The 16,518-nt window shown below is 50.4% G+C and overlaps 1 protein-coding gene across 6 annotated transcripts in view, besides 1 other annotated feature; it reads left to right on the top strand.

The window, feature by feature from the left end:
• Window positions 1–16,518, top strand: part of RFT1 (RFT1 glycolipid translocator homolog) — a 63,583-nt gene that overhangs the window by 35,205 nt on the left and 11,860 nt on the right. For 2 of the 6 annotated variants that reach the window (NM_052859.4, XM_011534216.4), the window contains 2 exons: window positions 2,613–2,862; window positions 3,161–6,748. The exons of 3 other annotated variants lie outside the window; for them this stretch is intronic. In NM_052859.4, coding sequence (NP_443091.1) covers window positions 2,613–2,862; window positions 3,161–3,328 — 418 coding nt within the window. In that variant the 3' untranslated portion in view covers window positions 3,329–6,748. Of the gene's footprint in view, window positions 1–2,612; window positions 2,863–3,160; window positions 6,749–9,378; window positions 11,293–16,518 lie in introns of those variants that run through there. One more of the 6 variants, XM_006713384.4, reaches the window with a different exon arrangement.
• Window positions 10,444–10,738: a silencer, noted in NCBI's record as "tiled region #3047; K562 Repressive DNase unmatched - State 8:EnhW". NCBI's record gives its function as "represses a minimal TATA promoter and a strong SV40 promoter by Sharpr-MPRA in K562 cells {active_cell/tissue: K562}" and the evidence as "EXISTENCE:reporter gene assay evidence [ECO:0000049][PMID:27701403]".

The following is a 16,518-nucleotide window of genomic DNA, read 5'->3' as shown; positions in this document are numbered from 1 at the left end:
AGTACAGTGGCGTGATCTTGGCTCACTGCAACCCCCGCATCCCGGGTTCAAGCAATTCTGCCTCAGCCTCCTGAGTAGCTGGGACTACAGACGTGCACCACCAAGCTCAGCTAATTTTTGTATTTTTAGTAGAGACAGGGTTTCACCATGTTGGCCAGGACGGTCTCGATCTCTTGACCTCGCGATCTACCCGCCTCGGCCTCCCAAAGTGCTGGGATTACAGGCATGAGCCACCGTGCCCGGCCAAAAAAGTGATATTTTAATTGCATTTTTAAAATTCTCATTTTTTCCTGAAGTGGATTATGCCTTTAAGGCTGTAGATTTGTGAATTCTGGAAAGTTCAGCAGCTGCAGGGCCCTCTTCTAGTGGCAGACAATGGACCCCATCATCAGCTCCTCTCAGATGGCCATATCAAAGAGGCTGTGCTGTCGAATGCGTCTCTGCTTGAATTAGCATGAATTAACTATTGGCTTTATTCATTATTGTTATTTTACTCGGAGTTGGGGAATGATGGCTAAAAGTTTGTGAATCTATGACTTAAACTCCAAGGATTGGTATAGTAGACCTTTCTGAGATAGTTTCTGAAAAACAGGTTACATATCTCTGCTGCTTTGTGGAAAAGAGGTCAAAGTACTGGTCTGTGATGGGTCCCATTTGAGTGGCTTGTTCTGAAGTTGACCTTTCTGATCACTGATTAGTAGTGAAAAAACTTCCCCTGTGAGGTACAGGCTCTCGTACTTCATTAAAAGAGACTCTCTCTGGACTGAAAAGCAAATAAACTCCCTCTCTGGAACTCCGGATGAAAGCACATCTCTCCTGTTGGAGTATAGTATTGTGTGTGAGAGTGTGTGTGTGTGTGTGTGTGTGTGTGTGTGTGTGCGTGTAGTATTTTTACCACCCACTTTGATAAAGCGTATCTCCACAGCACACAGCACCTTGGCCTGAATCAGCCAAGGACCTATACCTGGGCATTTGGGGGATGCAGTGGCTTGCCTTCTTTTTTCTTTTTGGTAGAGACATGGTCTCACTATGTTGTCCAGGCTGGTCTCAAACTCTTGGCCTCAAGCAATTCTCCTGCCTCAACCTCCCAATGTGCTGGGATTACAAGCATAGTTCTAGGGTACTGGCCAAGTTCTAGGACCTCCTCCCACACCTGCAGAATCAGGAACTCTGGTGGTGAGGGCCCCATATGCATTTTTAAGTCATCATTATATTTTGAGACAGGGTGTTGCTCGGTTGCCCAGGCTGGAGTGCAGTGGCATGATCATAGCTCACCATAGCCTTGAACTCCTGGGCTCCAGCCTTCTTCCTCTCTCAGCCTCCCAAGTCGCTGGGACAACAGGTGTATATCACGGCTAATTTTTTAATTTTTTGTAGAGACACGGTCTCATGATATTGCCCAGGCTGATCTGAAACTCTTAGGCTCAAGCGATCCTCCCGCTTCAACCTCCCGAGTAGCTAGGACTGCAGGTGTGTGCCACCAACCCTGGGTAATTTTTACTGGGTTTTGTAGAGACGGGGGTCTACTAGCTCTGTTGTCCAGGCTGATCTCGAACTCCTGGCCTCAAGCAATCCTCCCACCACTTCAGCCTCTCAAAGCACTGGGATTCTGCTTTCTGACGACCCCTCATGTGCAGAATCTGGGTGGTGGCCTCTGAGGTTTTCTAACCCAGCAGACATGGCTTGAGGATGTCAAAAGTTTGGTTCCCTCAACAGCTATATACTTTGAGTGCCTGCTTGGTGCTAGGCGGAAACCAGAGGCTAGGGGATTTTGTTCTTGGCTGTACAAGCCTTTTGGAGGACTATGGCAGCTATTTCGTGTTTGCTGAGAATCTGTTTTCTTTTTGGAGGACTGAAGATAACTAAGTGATGTGCTGCTTTGAAATCAGAGAAGTGCAAGAAGCGCCAGGATCCAAAGAGCTCTAGAGATACAGAGAGTGGGAGTGAGGATATGTAAGAGTCTGGAAAATAGCAGAGGTGATCCAGGCTTTGGTTTCAGTTCCCATTTCATTTTGGAGGCCAGTCATTTGCTTTGAATGGGGTCTACTGCCCAAGGTTACTGGGTGCTGCATTTCCCAAGGGCAGTGGTGTGAGGTACTGAAGCTTAGGGGTCAGAAGTCCGGCTGAGTGTTACCTCACTCTTGAGACAAATTACTCAACTTCTCTGTGCTGCTTCCCTTGTCTGTGAAATAAATCCAAGCTCTGCAGGGCAAGGCCCATGTGTGTTCATTCTCCAGTGTGTCCCCAGCACTCCTCACAGGGCCTGTCACAGAGTTAGCATCCAATGTCTAATTACCCAGGTCACATTCTTGTATCTCACATTGAGGACTTGGGCTGAACAGGGTTTTTATGTTTTGATCACAAAGTATCGCTTAACTAACTAATTATTGTCTTCAAAAAACATACATCTCCTGAGTTGTTTCTTACCTTTCTGCTCAGGGTAAGGGGACAGGGACATTCCCATGGTCTCCAGGTAGCATTCGATGTTATGAAAACCTGGATTCCAGGAGCTCAGGTTCTTTCTGTGAGTTGATGTTCATGGCCGCTGTTTTGGGAGCAGCCTTGTCCAGGGCAAGGTCACCACTGCCCTCCTTTTCCTGTCTCCTCCCCAGGTACAATTTTGTGATGCTGGCCCTGTCCTCCTCATTCCTGGTGTTATCCTATCTCTTGACCCGTTGGTGTGGCAGCGTGGGCTTCATCTTGGCCAACTGCTTTAACATGGGCATTCGGATCACGCAGAGCCTTTGCTTCATCCACCGCTACTACCGAAGGAGCCCCCACAGGCCCCTGGCTGGCCTGCACCTATCGCCAGTCCTGCTCGGGACATTTGCCCTCAGTGGTGGGGTTACTGCTGTTTCGGAGGTGAGACTCCCTGAGCCATCATGCCACATGCTTCTGCAGCTGCCCCGCTGTCTCTCCCGCTAGGCCTCCTCTTCCCAGGTTTTTGCCTCCTCCTGTCCCCTCCCCAGGCCTCTAGGGCAGCATCTTCTGATAATGTGACAAGAGAATGTTGCCAATGGGGAAACAATGGACCTGCAGTATGGCTGTTATGCCTTTTATCTGACTTAGAAGCTGGAACCACAGCTGTCTTCCCTGGCTGGTCCCAGAGGAAGGAGGTATAGACTGAGGAACAGGCACTGACAATGGTTTCTTTCCCCAGGTATTCCTCTGCTGTGAGCAGGGCTGGCCAGCCAGACTGGCACACATTGCTGTGGGGGCCTTCTGTCTGGGAGCAACTCTCGGGACAGCATTCCTCACAGAGACCAAGCTGATCCATTTCCTCAGGACTCAGTTAGGTGTGCCCAGACGCACTGACAAAATGACATGACTTCAGGGAAGCCTGGACACCCGAGGCACCTGGACCAGCTATGGGTAGTTCTGTGGGTGGAACACATTCTGTGTAAGAGCCCCACTGAGGGCTCTGCAGCGGAGTGACAGCAACCCCAGAGATGAGGCACCAGAGAGTGCCACTGCATGAGACACCTGTGACCATTCGAAGTCTGAAATGCGGGGGGGGAGTTTCATTTTTAAGTGAAGACCAAAAGCCCTTTAAAAATAATAGTTTTTTATCATTTTATAGTAATCAGCATTTTCTCTTTTACTAATATACTCATTCCTTTTGCGTATGATTGGCCTTTGGAGCTACATGCTCCAACAAACTATATCTTAATTGTTAACTGTTAATAATTATCTGGCCCAGAAAAAGAGATGCAGTGATTTTACCCTTCACAGGAATATTGAACTTCTTCTGTAAAAGAGAGAGAGAAACCTCTCTCTCTCATGCACCACATGGAAACAGAGTGTGGCCCTGAAGTTGTGGCTTTCTTTGTGTCAAAACTGTGGTCTGAGTTTTTAGAGAAGGAAAAATGCTACTCAGTGAGAAATCCAAGAAATGAAACCAGGAAGGTTTTCAGATCACATTTCCCAGAGTGAGTTCGGGAGAATCTTGCCTGTCGTGATCACACTGTTCCCCGCCGCCCCAGGTCAGCACATACTTGACCCAGAGTGGGCTCTCAGGATTTGTTGATTGAAGGGTGGGTGAAAGCTGGCTGGAGACTCCTGGCCTGGCCACCTGCAAGAGGCGGACTTTGAAGAAAACTGTGATCCAGTTGAGCCACTTTGTCCCTGAGGGGAATGCTGCTTTGCAGCTTTCTGTAACTTCTCACATGGGAATTGCACTGGTGACAGATAAGGTTTAACAGATGTACTTTTTTATCCTCAGAATAAGACAAGGCAAACTCTATATGGCTAGTATTACTGAGTCAGGTCCCTCCCGTTGACCCATTAATTCCAGCATTGATCAATACAACCAAATTCCAGCCCCAGGACAAGAGTGGCAGGCATGGGGGCCTGGTACTCCAGGCTACAGTGTGAGCCCAGGTGTTCTGCACCTTGCAGCCTGCACACTGCAGGTGAAATCATGAGCAGTGTTCTGGAGTGTGAAGTGTTTTTATTTTTTTGTTAATGTATTAATTCCTTTTAGATATTAACCCCCCTCAGAACTATATGCACAAACTATAACTTGGATGTTAATAATCCTGTCACTCAGTGCCCCAAACCTTCTGTGTCTACACCTAGAGAGAGGGCCAGTAAGGGCAACTCCTATCATGCATTAAAATGCATGTATTTAAATCTGCTTGCCCAGAGCCAGTACCCAGGGGCTAAGGATTAAGACCTGTCAGTACACCAAGACTGGGGCCCAGTCACCTGGCAGGTTTTTATCTACTCAGAGGGAGAATGCTTTGCACTAAGTGGGAGAAAAGCAGCTAAATGCAAGGTGTCCTGAGCAATTAGAGGACCTCCAAAGCATGGCCTCAGTCATGCCTTCATCGGGCAAGGTCAGGCCAGCTCAGAAAAATGGATGGTCCCATAGGGTCAAGTGGAGCACACACGGAAGGCAGTCCTCCTTCCCTCCCATGTCCTTTCTCTGTCCCTGGCATCCACAGAAAGGGACCTTCAGTCCTCATGAGCTGCTTCTCTGCAGCTGCTGATCACCCTCCCGGAACCCTGCACCTATCCCGTGCCCACCTGACCCCAGACTCAAGCATGATCCTCATTCTACCTGCCTCGGAATCACCTGGATTGCAAGTCAGAACATGGCTTCCCAGGACCCACTCCAGGCCTTCAGGGTCTGTGTCTCCCAGGAGGAGGGCTCTGAGATTGGCTTTTCTGGCAAGCCCACGTGGCTTTGATGCCACCAAGGTTGGCATGCCCCATTGTCTTCCTTCGTGACAGGCCCAGGACCATCATGCTCATGCTCACAGTGCCTGTTCTCTGCTCCAGGAACAGAGCTGCTGCTCTACAAGCAGCCTTGTGACTCCGGGGTCTCTGGGAGCAGGACTCCCCAGGCTTGTGCTCTCTCAGCTTGAGAGAGGCTCTATGTCTGAAGGCAGTGCTCACTCTCTCATCCCTCCCCTGCTGTTCGCCCAGTGCTGCTGTCAGGGCCAGCTCCTCTTGAAAGACAGCCAGCCGCAAAGGCAGCCCAGGGCTTCTTCCGGTGTCCTGCTTCCCTGTATCTAGGGAGAGTTGTACATGTGGCTGCGTGTTTTCCCAGGACTAGCCCTGCCGCCTGGGCTGTCAGCACTTTGGCAGCAGGTCCTCTGTGGTTCTCTGCCTCTGGTGCCTCCCTAAAGCTCAGCTGGACCTGACCAGGCCTCTGGCATTTCCCCTGCTGGACCCCCTAGAGCCACAGCTGTGCCTCAGGGAGCTTGCATACATGTGGGCCAGCCTGCCTCACTTTACCCAAGTGGATTTGGGGAGCAGAAATCATACTTTTGGCTTTCAATACCACTTATAGTGAGGCTACTTCTCCATGGAAACAAGTCTCTGAGGCACAACCTTTATGAAAGGAAGGAGCATTCGTTGGTGAGAAGAACAGTATCGCTGACTTCCTGTGCTCCTCTGGCCACAGGTAACTGTTGGTCACTTCAGATTTGGCTTGGGGTCTCTCAGTGAGGAGCTGCTGCTGTGCTGTTTAATGCTTACCTGATGGCAACTTCTGGCTCTGGAACCGCTACTCTGCCCTGTTCCCAGCCACTTCCCAACCTGATTCAAGCAGGGCCCCTCCTTCCTCCTGTCTTTATTTATTTATTTATTGAGACAGAGTCTCACTCTGTCGCCCAGGCTGGAGTGCAGTAGCGCGATCTCGGCTCACTGCGAGCTCTGCCTCCTGGGTTCAAGCGATTCTCTTGCCTCAGCCTCCTGAGTAGCTGGGGCTACAGGCGCCTGCCACCACACCCGGCTAATTTTTGTATTTTTAGTAGAGACAGGGTTTCACCATATTGGCCAGGCTGGTCTTGAACTCCTGACCTTGTGATCCGCCCGCCTCAGCCTCCCAAAGTGCTGGGATTACAGGCGTGAGCCACCGCTCCTGGCCTATTCTTTTCTTTTCAGAGACAAGGTCTCACTCTCTCCTCTCGCCCAGGCTGGAGTGCAGTGGTGTCATCATAGCTCATTGCAGCCTCAAACTCCTGGGCTCAAGCAATCCTCCCACCTCAGCCTCCTGAGTAGCTGGGATCACAGGTGTGTGCTACCTCACCCAGCTAATTTCTAATTTTTTTTTGTAGAGACTGGATCTCACTGTTGCCTTGAACTCCTGGGCTCAAGTGATCCTCCTGCCTCAGCCTCCCAAAGTGCTGGGATTCCAGACCAGCCATTTTTTTTCCTTAATCATGCATTCCTGTTGCTAGTTTCACATCAGTCCCCTGGTTTAATAAGAAATAAAATATTTTCTTCACACTTTTGAAAAGACCTTTCTTCTTTCATACCCCTTCTCCCTCCAAAAGGGACAAAAATTCTTTAATTTCATAAGGAGGGTAGGTAAGTAACTTGAGGATGTGAACCTTTGGTGTTCCTCAGCTGGAACGTTTCTCTCTCTGTTGATGTTGTAGCTGGGACTGGGCTTCTTGACTTTGGAAGAGGGATGGTATCCTGGCACCTCCTGTGTCTGGGACTGAAAGGCCTGTGGTGTCTCCTTTGCTCCTCTCCCCATCCCCCCTTAAGCTGTATTTCCCGTTGTTTGCGGGACTTCTCTCCTGTCTTCTCCATCTGGCCTGGTCCTTGTTTTGTTTGTTTATTAAACGGCCATTCCTTGAGAAGTCAGGACTAGTTTCAGCACAGAGCAGGGCAAGTGTGTGATTTCAGGGGGTCTAGGACAGCCCCTTCACTCTAATATCCTCCTCCATCAGGTGATAGAATTTCCTTTCACCTAGTTCAAAGACTGTTATTTCCAGAATTTCCTTTCACCTAGTTCAAAGACTGTTATTTCCAGAATTAGAGAGGATACTGGAAATTCAGATTCCGCAGAGAACTCGGTGACTCATTCACACTAAGATGTAAAATAACCCCATCAAGATTTATTTCCTTTTTGTTCTCTAGTGAGAGGAAAAAAGAAAAAAGAATTCTTTGCCGGGCCAGGCGTTGTGGCTTGCGCCTATAATCTCAACACTTTCGGAGGCTGAAGCAGGAGGATTGCTTGAGCCCGGGATTTTGAGACCAACCTGGGCAACACAGGGAGACCCCATCTCTACAAAAAAATTTAAAAACTAGCTGGGCGTGGTGGCACGCACCTGTAGTTCCTATACGGGAGGCTGAGGTGCAAAGGATTGCTTGAGCCCAGGATTTCAAGGCTGCAATGAGCATGTTCGCGCTCCAACCTGGATGACAGAGCAAGACCCTGTCCCCCCACTCCAAAAAAAAAAAAAATTATTTCCTGAGCAGCTTTTGATGTTGAGGAAGAGACAGGCAGGAGCTGGGAGCATCCAGAACCTGGAGGAGGAGGGGCTCAGGTGAGAGGCTGGGCAGGCCCGGACGGTGGGAGCTGTGAGTGTTGCTGTGTGGCCTCTGGGATGGATGGAGTTCAGTTCACAGTGGGAAATCAGGGGCAGCATGATCCCTGGCCTAGTCTTAGAAGAGCCATGGCTGAAAACGGGGTGGGGACTAAAGAAGAGAGAGAATCCGAACAGGGGATATCCTTCACATATTTTATTTATTTTTTGAGAGAGTCTCGTTCTGTTGCCCGGGCTGGAGTGCAGTGGCACGATCTTGGCTCACAGCAACTTCTGCCTCCCAGGTGCAAGCAATTCTCGTGCCTCAGCCTCCCAGTAGCTGGGACTGCAGGCATGCACCACCACACCTGGCTAATTTTTGTATTTTTAGTAGGGAGGGGGTTTCACCATGTTGGCCAGGCTGGTCTGGAACTCCTGACCGCAAGTGATCTGCCTGCCTCCGCCTCCCAAAGTGCTGGGATTACAGGCGTGAGCCACCGCGCCTGGCCTCCTTCACATATTTACACACTCCTGCAGTTTATGGGGGCCAGGCACCGATGGCAAGTGAGACGGGTGTGCAGGGGGCTTGCTAGTGAGGAGAGCTTCCACCAGCAGCTCGATCCTGAGCACCTTTGGGAGCTGACCCACGGACTCATGAAGCTGCTTGCACAAGGTTCTCAGTGGCCCTAAGGAAGAGTTCTGGAAGGCACACTGGAAGCCGGGAGGCCTGTGGAGCCTGTCAGAAAGGACCAGATTTGGAAAGAAGATGAGCTAAGGCTCAAGTATCAGGGGTCCCCTAGAAATTTCTCAAAGACAATGAAACACAATGGACTAGAAAAAGCAACTGAAAGCCGGGCGCGGTGGCTCCCGCCTGTAATCCCAGCACTTTGGGAGGCCGAGGCAGGTGGATCGCCTGAGGTCAGGAGTTTGAGACCAGTCTGGCCAACATGGTGAAACCCCGTCACTACTAAAAATGCAAAAATTAGCCGGGCATGGTGGCAGATGCCTGTAATTCCAGCTACTCAGGAGGCTGAGGCAGGAGAGTCACTTGAACCCGGGAGGCAGAGGTTGCAGTGAGCCAAGATCGCGCCACTGCACTCCAGCCTGGGTGACAGAGCGAGACTCTGTTTCCAAAAAAATAAGTAAAAAAGAAAAAAAAGCAACTGAACAAGATCACTACTCTAAAATTTATTTACTGAATATTCCATGAGTGTCCAGGAAGTAACTGAGACTTGTGTATTTAATTTGGAAATGAGACTTCTGAGACAATCAGATGCAGACGAAAAATTATTTGCTTCACTATTATTTACTTACCTGAGTGAATTGGTCCTTAATGTTGTAAATATTTCATTTGCTAACTAGCTTTCAAGGTGGCAGAAAAGGTGTTTTACTTGAAGAATTTGAGGAGAGGGAAGACTTACTGATTTGCATTATCAGTCAGTCCCCAATTACCTTGGCATAATCAGTCCCATTATTTAGTGTTACTCATTTTTAACCAGAACTGTCTGGGTGTATCAGAGCACAATTGGGAAGATGGGCTCTTAATGTAGTTCAGCCTCCTTTAGGGGCCTAATGAAGGAAGACTTATAAATACTTCTCAATTATCCTTCAGATGAATTAGCAGCAGTTAGCCCTTGTTCCAGCGCAGTCGATTCTTCACCAGTTGACTTTTCCATTCTTCTTGGGAAGCGCGGCTTAAAAAGAAAGTGCTGGAGGTGAGATGTGCGAATTAGGTCTTTCCTTGCAAGTCATAGATGCTCGGCAAAGTAAGTGTGCCCGGAACTCTGTCCCTACCTCTGCAGGCTCCACACACGTTTGGAGACCCCACCCCCAGCTTGTGGAACCTATTGCAGTATATCATGTCCCATGTTGAACACAATCGTATATAAGGATAAGGACACAAGAGTGGTGGCTGCCTAACTGATATGGTGGTATGTTCTGTAGCAATTGAAAAAGCATTGAAAAAGCAATTTTGAAACGTTCTATTTCGGAGCCAGTAAATTTTGTCTTCATCTCATTTCTGAGGGGCCTGAAGAGTTAAAGGGCCCTGGGTGCTCCACCTGTGAGGCCGAATGAACACTGGGCCCTGGGCGCTTAGGAAGGAGGGAAGGGGATGCCAGGAGCAGGGAGGTGGTGCCTGGAGGCTGCCTCACTGTGAGGCTGGCAGGGGCCAGGCTCTGGGGCAGCTCCCAGCCCTCTCTGCTTCTCCCGGCTTCACCGTGGGGTGATTCTCATTTTTCCTGGGGCCCAGACAGCAGGCCAGCCCTCAGGCTGGTGGGCAGTGAGAGGAGGAGGACCCAGACATGGCTACTGCTCTCAGGGTAGAGGCCTAGGCACTTCCACTGAGGGGGCAGTCTCTCACCTTTTACTTCCCGCCCCCAGCCCCCTCCCTCCTCCTTGCTTCTGAGTGCAAAGCCCCTGCAGGAGAAATGGAACTGGCACAGATTATAAGACAGCCACTGTAGATCACAGGTCATACATTAGCCAGTAGATGGGCCACCCTGGCCTGAGCAGCATTTGCTAGGTGTAGGCCAGTCAGAGTGGCACGGTTCATCCCTCATCGCCCCTTCCCCAGGGAGCTGCATGGGGACCCGTGACATAACAGCTGACTTGTGAAGGAATCTTCTAGACCATTTCCCTGTCACATTTCTTCTCTCCCTCCAATAAATGTGTCCCAATGTTATGACCCTATTGACTCTACTGTCACAATGTTGACAAAGGGGTTTGGCAGAGGCCACCTGGGTTCACAGTGCTCAGTGGGAAAGAGACCTGAAAAACTGGCAACTCCTGGTCCTTCCTTCCCAGCGGCCTCTCACCTTTAATCTGCTCTGCAGTGCCCCATCACAGGTTGGGGCCTTGGAACAGGCTCGGGAGCTGTCATCGCAGTCAGTGAGCAGTGACTAATTAAGACACGGCTGCATTAGTCACATTGGAGGTGACAACTGAGCAGCATGTTTCTGGTTAATGTCTGGGAGATCCTGACACCCTTTCCAATTATGTGGAACTAATAGTGTGCGGCTTCCACGTGGCCATGTGGGGTGGGAGAGCAGGGGGAGCCTGAAATGAAAGCATGACTGTCTGCGGGCAGCGCCAGTTTTGTTCCCGGCTCATCTACTCCTCACTTCTTTGCCCTTTCATTTGAAAATCACAAAAGGTAACACCAGGGGAATGGCATAAGGGGTGCCAGAGGACCTCTTTCAGAAGGCTTTTGTTGTCCACCACTGTTCCCAGGAGAATTCTGAAAATATTCAGAGGGAAGCTGGTGATGTAGGAGCCAGTCCTTTCACCAGGTGCAGACGAAAACCCCAGCCTCGCCAGCCTTGGAGCACACTCTTATCTTCCCTCACCAGAGCCCGGCAGGGCCATGCAGGGAGAACCACAAAGACCCAGAGAATCAAGACATTGCAGCCAGAAGGAAAACAGAGCTCTTCTCCACACAGAATCCCAACCAAACTAGAGAATGCTGCTAAAATAGCTATCCTTTTTGTTTCCCCTAGGACATTAACACAAGAATTTTATGAACAAACTGGGATAGCATGGTGTGTTTAATGTTCCTGAACTAGAGCTGAAGGTTTCTGTCTTCCCCACATGGCTTCTGAGATCCCCAAGTGGCATCTCTCTAATGACGAGAGAATGTTCTCGCAGATGTGCAGATGTCGGGCTGTGGGGGGCCACAGAAGGGACAGAGTGACTTGCATTTGTTTATTTTGTAACCATGATGGAAACCATGTGGAGCTCTGGCTGCCCGGTGGGGCTGGTGGGCAGGATGCCCAAGCACAGTGGTGACTTGTCTTTGCCTGCTCTCAGCTCTGCCTGCCGCAGATCTGCAAGCACAGGGCCAAGCGCCGGGCCCTGGGTGGAAGGACCCCAGGGGTGCCCTGTGTTCAGCACTTCTTCCATCTGCACCATCACTGGAGAAATCCACCTGCGACCATGTCTTTTATTTATTTACTTTTTTTTTTTTTTTTTTTAGATAGGGTCTTGCTCTGTTGCCCAGGCTGGAGTGCAGTGGCATGACCATAGCTCCCTGCAGCCTTAATCTCCTGGGCTCAAGAGATCCTCCCACCTCAGCCTCCTGAGTACCTGCCTAATTTTTTTTTTTTTTTTTAATTTTTAGTAGAGACAGAGTCTCACTATGTTGCCCAGACTGGTCTTACACTCCTAAGCTCAAGTGATCCTCCCAGCTTGTCCTCCCAAAGTGCTGGGATTACAGGCGTGAGCCACTGCTCCCAGCCTGTGTCTTTTTTTTTTTTTTTTTTTTTTTGAGATGGAATCTCACTCTGTCACCCAGGCTGGGGTGCAGTGGCGCAATCTCAGGTCACTGCAACCTCTGCCTCCCAGGCTCAAGTGACTCTCCTGCCTCAGCCTGCCGAATAGTTGGGATTACAGGTGCCCACCGCCACACCCAGCTAATTTTTTTAAAGTATTTTTATTAGAGATGGGGTTTCACCATTTTGGCCAGGCTGGTCTTGAACTCCTGACTTCAAGTGACCCTCCCACCTTAGCCTCCCAAAGTGCTGGGATTACAGGCATGAGCCGCCATGCCCGGCCCTGTGTCTGTCTTTTGAAGTACACGAACAGGGTTTTGCTTCATGTGTATTTCATCTTCTAAACGGCACAGCATGTTGCGTCCATGCCTTCCATTATACTTCCCCACCCCCACCCAACTGCCCTTCTCAGATTCGTGGGTGGCCTTGAACAAGTCTCCCCACTCCAGCAGTTACAGAGCCCTGAGCATGTGCCGGGTTTGTGGGGAGACACATTTTACAGGTGTTACCTGTGAGATCTTCACAACAGACTCCATCTATTATCTATGGGCTACAGGTGAGGAAACGGAGGCACAGAGAAGTGACTCGATTTTCCCTGAGCCACACAACTGGGGTCAACCCCTGGACTGTCTGATTACACAGCCCCCTTTAGCTCTGGGCTAATTTCCCCCCTCTATTATTATTATTATCATTATTGTTATTATTATTTCATTTTACTTTTTTTGCGACAGTCTTGCTCTATCACCCAGGCTGGAGTGCAGTGGCACGATCTCAGCTCACTGCAACCTCCACCTCCCAGGTTCAAGCAATTCTCCTGCCTCAGCCTCCTGAGTAGCTGGGATTACAGGTGTGCACCACCACACTCAACTAATTTTTGTATGTTTAGTAGAGATGGGGTTTTGCATGTGGTCAGGCTGGTTTTGAACTCCTGGCCTCAAGCAACCCACCCACCTTGGCCTCCCAAAGTGCTAGAATTACAGGCATGAGCCACCACGGCTGGCCAAGTTCCTCCCTCTATTAGAGCCCAGGAGTTTGAGACCAGCCTGGGCCACATAGGGAGATTCTGTTTCTATAAATAATAAAAAATTAGCTGGGCGTGGTGGCTCTCGCCTGTGGTCCCAGCTACTCAGGAGGCTGAGGCGGGAAGATCACTGGAGCCCGGGAAGTCGAGGCTGCAATAAGCCATGATCACACCGCTGCACTCCAGCCTGGGTGACAGAGTGAGACTCTGTTTCAAAAACAAAACAAAACTAAAAATCCAGCAAGTTTGGAACCCACAGGATTTGTTTTCAATCCATCCCTGACCTTCCATGGCTTATTTTTCTCTACAGTTCCTCCCCTGCCTCTGTCTTCATCCCATCTTAAGGAATTTAGGGTAATTGTTTCGCACAAACATTGGCATGATAAGAAATATTTGGGAGAAATAAATCTGGCCCAAAAAAATTATGGTACATTACAAAGAAAAGGTTTTGTATATCCCAGGGTCCCTGACTGTTGGGGCTTTGACCCTGGGCAGCACCACCAAGGAGTGGGAAGGCACCTCACTTTTGGCCTCTCGGGTCTAATTCCTCACTTTGGAACCATGGGCAGGAGATCTTGCCTCTCTGTGCCTCAGTTTCCTCATCTGTCACCCACCTTACGTGGTCCAGGAAAGATGAAAGGAGAACAGAAATGGGAGGCAAATTCAGCTCCAAAAGCCTTGGAAACCCCAAGCCGCAGCAAGGCTTCCTGGGTGTCCACTTGACCCACATCCACCCTTCTTTCCTCTTCCAATCCCCGTGCCGAGGTAGTTCTCTCCCTACACCCTGCACCTCACCTCTATGGCTGTGCCAGGCTCTGCTCCTCTCCACCCTCACCCCTAATGATCCAGCTCAAAGGCCTGCTGTGGCTGAGCCAGCAAAGGAGGGAGGGCGAGGGCATTATAAATACTCATGATTTAATGGCTTTTCCTTTAGCCCCATTACCTGCAGAAGGCACCTGGCCTAGAATGCATGGCGTTGATGAACTCAGGTCACCGTTTCTTTCCCTTGGCTTCATTTGGGCTGGTTCTTATGATGTCCTCAGGAGCCCTGGAACCAGCACTGCCCAGCCTCATCCTCACACCTCTCCCCATGCCCCAGCCAGGGAGGCACTCGCCTGTGTCAGGCCTGGTGGCCCTGTTCTTATGACCCCCCTAGGCTGCTCTGTCCCCATCAGGCTCCTCGTCCTTTCTTGCAACAGCCCTATATTCTTTCTCCCTTGAGAATTAGAAAGGCAGGTGTGTGTGGTGGGGCCAGGAGTTTGGCGGGGAGGGAAACGTGTCCAGAGAGGGCTTTGAGGCAGCTGTGGCTTTGCTTCCCCAGGCCTAGTCACTGGACCCAGCCCAGCTACCCTGCTACCCTACCCCCTTCAAGCTGTGAATCTTTGAGCAAAGTGCTTGATCCCCCTGTGCCTCAGTTTACTCATCTAAAAATGGGCACAATAGCACTTGCCTCATAGGGTGTAGTAAGGAGTGAGAGGAGGTAGGTAAAGCACTAGACAGGGATGCCTAGCTCTAGCCTAGTGGACTTGAACGAGTGGAATTTTAAATCTGCCCAACACAAGGTTACAGAGGGACTGTGGTCCCTGGAATCGTTTGTTTCCCCACTACTGCTTCCTCCTCCCACCTAACCCCAGTCCACAGAAGTGCACGTGGTGGTGGAGCATCTTTTAAAATTCCAATGGAAACATTGCTTTACCCTCTCCTGAAAGACGAAGCTGCAGGTGAAGAAGAAACGAAAACTGCTTTTAGGCCCAGCTGGCCCTGCAGGAGCTTTGGCGGGTAAGGGTGTCAGGCAGGGAGACTGTGCAGAGCCAGGCATCTGGATGTGGATTTGAGGTGTCCTTAGCCTTGGAAACCCCAGTGACTAGGCCCGGGGAAGAAACGCCATGGCTGCCAGCAAATGCTCTTTCAGACACACATTCCGCACACCTCCCCAGGACAAGAAGGGATGCTCCAGAAGCTTGTTAAATGATTTCCACCAATTTCAGAAATTGCCTCAGCTAGTTGTTTATATTTCCCATCAGCCTTAGATTAAGACAGAAAGAAAATGGGGCCCTGGCGTCAGGAAAGAAGGTGGCTTTGTCCAGGGAGGGACAGCTGCTGTGGCAGTTTCTGAAGAAAGTGGAAAGGCATGAATGGGCCCTGCCATGTGTTGGGTGGCCACAGGCATGAGCTCTCCTGGTCTCGGCTTTCCAAGGCCCGGGCCACGGTGGCCCACGAGGACACCCCTGCACCCCCACATGGCCTCACCCACCAATTGCCAATGTCCTCACCTTGAACCCACTCATCACAGGCTGATCCAGAAACTTGCTGAGTTTTGTTTTGTTGCAAACACTGATTTGCTTTGTTGTTTTTTTTACTTCACTGGGATGTAGGATGCCAGGTTAAGATGGACTGGTTTCTCCTGCCAGAAGCAGCTTTGAATTTAGGATGCCCAGAGGGTGCTGTCTTTTTCTTTTGACAGAGTCGTGGTCTGTTGCCCAGGCTGGTGTGCAGTAGTGCGATCTAGGCTCACTGCAACCTCTGCGATTCTCCTGCCTCAGCCTCTCAAGTAGCTGGGATTACAGGCGCCCACCACCATGCCCAGCTAATTTTTCTATTTTTACTAGAGACAGGGTTTTGCCCTGTTGGCCAGACTGGTCTCGAACTCCTGACCTCAGGTGATCCACTCGTCTCAGCCTCCCAAAGTGCTGGGATTACACATGTGAGCCACTGTGCCCAGCCTAGGGTGCTGTCCTGAACACTATTGATAAGGTGGAGTTTTCCTGGGAAGGGAAGAGTGTTCTGCCTACAGACTTGTGGACATCAGGGAGACACCAGATGTGTCTGGGCCCAGCGCTGATCCTTGGGGAAGGTGTGAGGCCATGGACATTTGGGGTGTGGGTCATATCTGAGTAGTGGGGATCCATCAGGCCTTCCTCTTCCTCCTTCTCATTGTCAAAGAGCCGTGACCTGAGTGTACCTGGTTCTGATCCGACAGCCCACTGCTAAAGGCCTCCCTCATTTCTATCAGCGTCTGTGGGACATTCCCTTCAACTGTGCAGGAGTCCTGGTTGCCTTTGAAGCTTGGAAATGATGTTTTACCACATCCCCACTGCCCACTGGGCCAGAGGACCTGCTGTTGATCCAGACAATCAACAGAGCTGGAGAGCCCGGAACTGTATTCCGATCCCAGCCCTGCCTTTTACTCCTTGTGAGATCTAGCAGGTAGCTTTGCCTTTTCTCCATCTGCAGAAGGTTCTAATAATCCCTGCTCACTCTTGCTCCAGGGCCATTGTGGGGCCAAGGAAAAGTTGGGGTTCAGCAGTTCTTTGGGGTGGAATGGAGAGTTGGAGAGCCAGTGGGCCTGTGCATACCAAGGCTGGAGCCTGGGTCCTGCAGGGGAGCTAGTCCAGCACAGAGGTCACGGTGGAGATTAAAATATTCCTTTTTTTGAAACAGGATCTGGAGCTGCTGCCTGGGC

Source organism: Homo sapiens, chromosome 3, assembly GCF_000001405.40.
Source record: "Homo sapiens chromosome 3, GRCh38.p14 Primary Assembly".
Taxonomy (NCBI): domain Eukaryota; kingdom Metazoa; phylum Chordata; class Mammalia; order Primates; family Hominidae; genus Homo; species Homo sapiens.
Note: the sequence above shows the minus strand (reverse complement) of the source record. Positions and strands in the feature narration are given on the sequence as shown.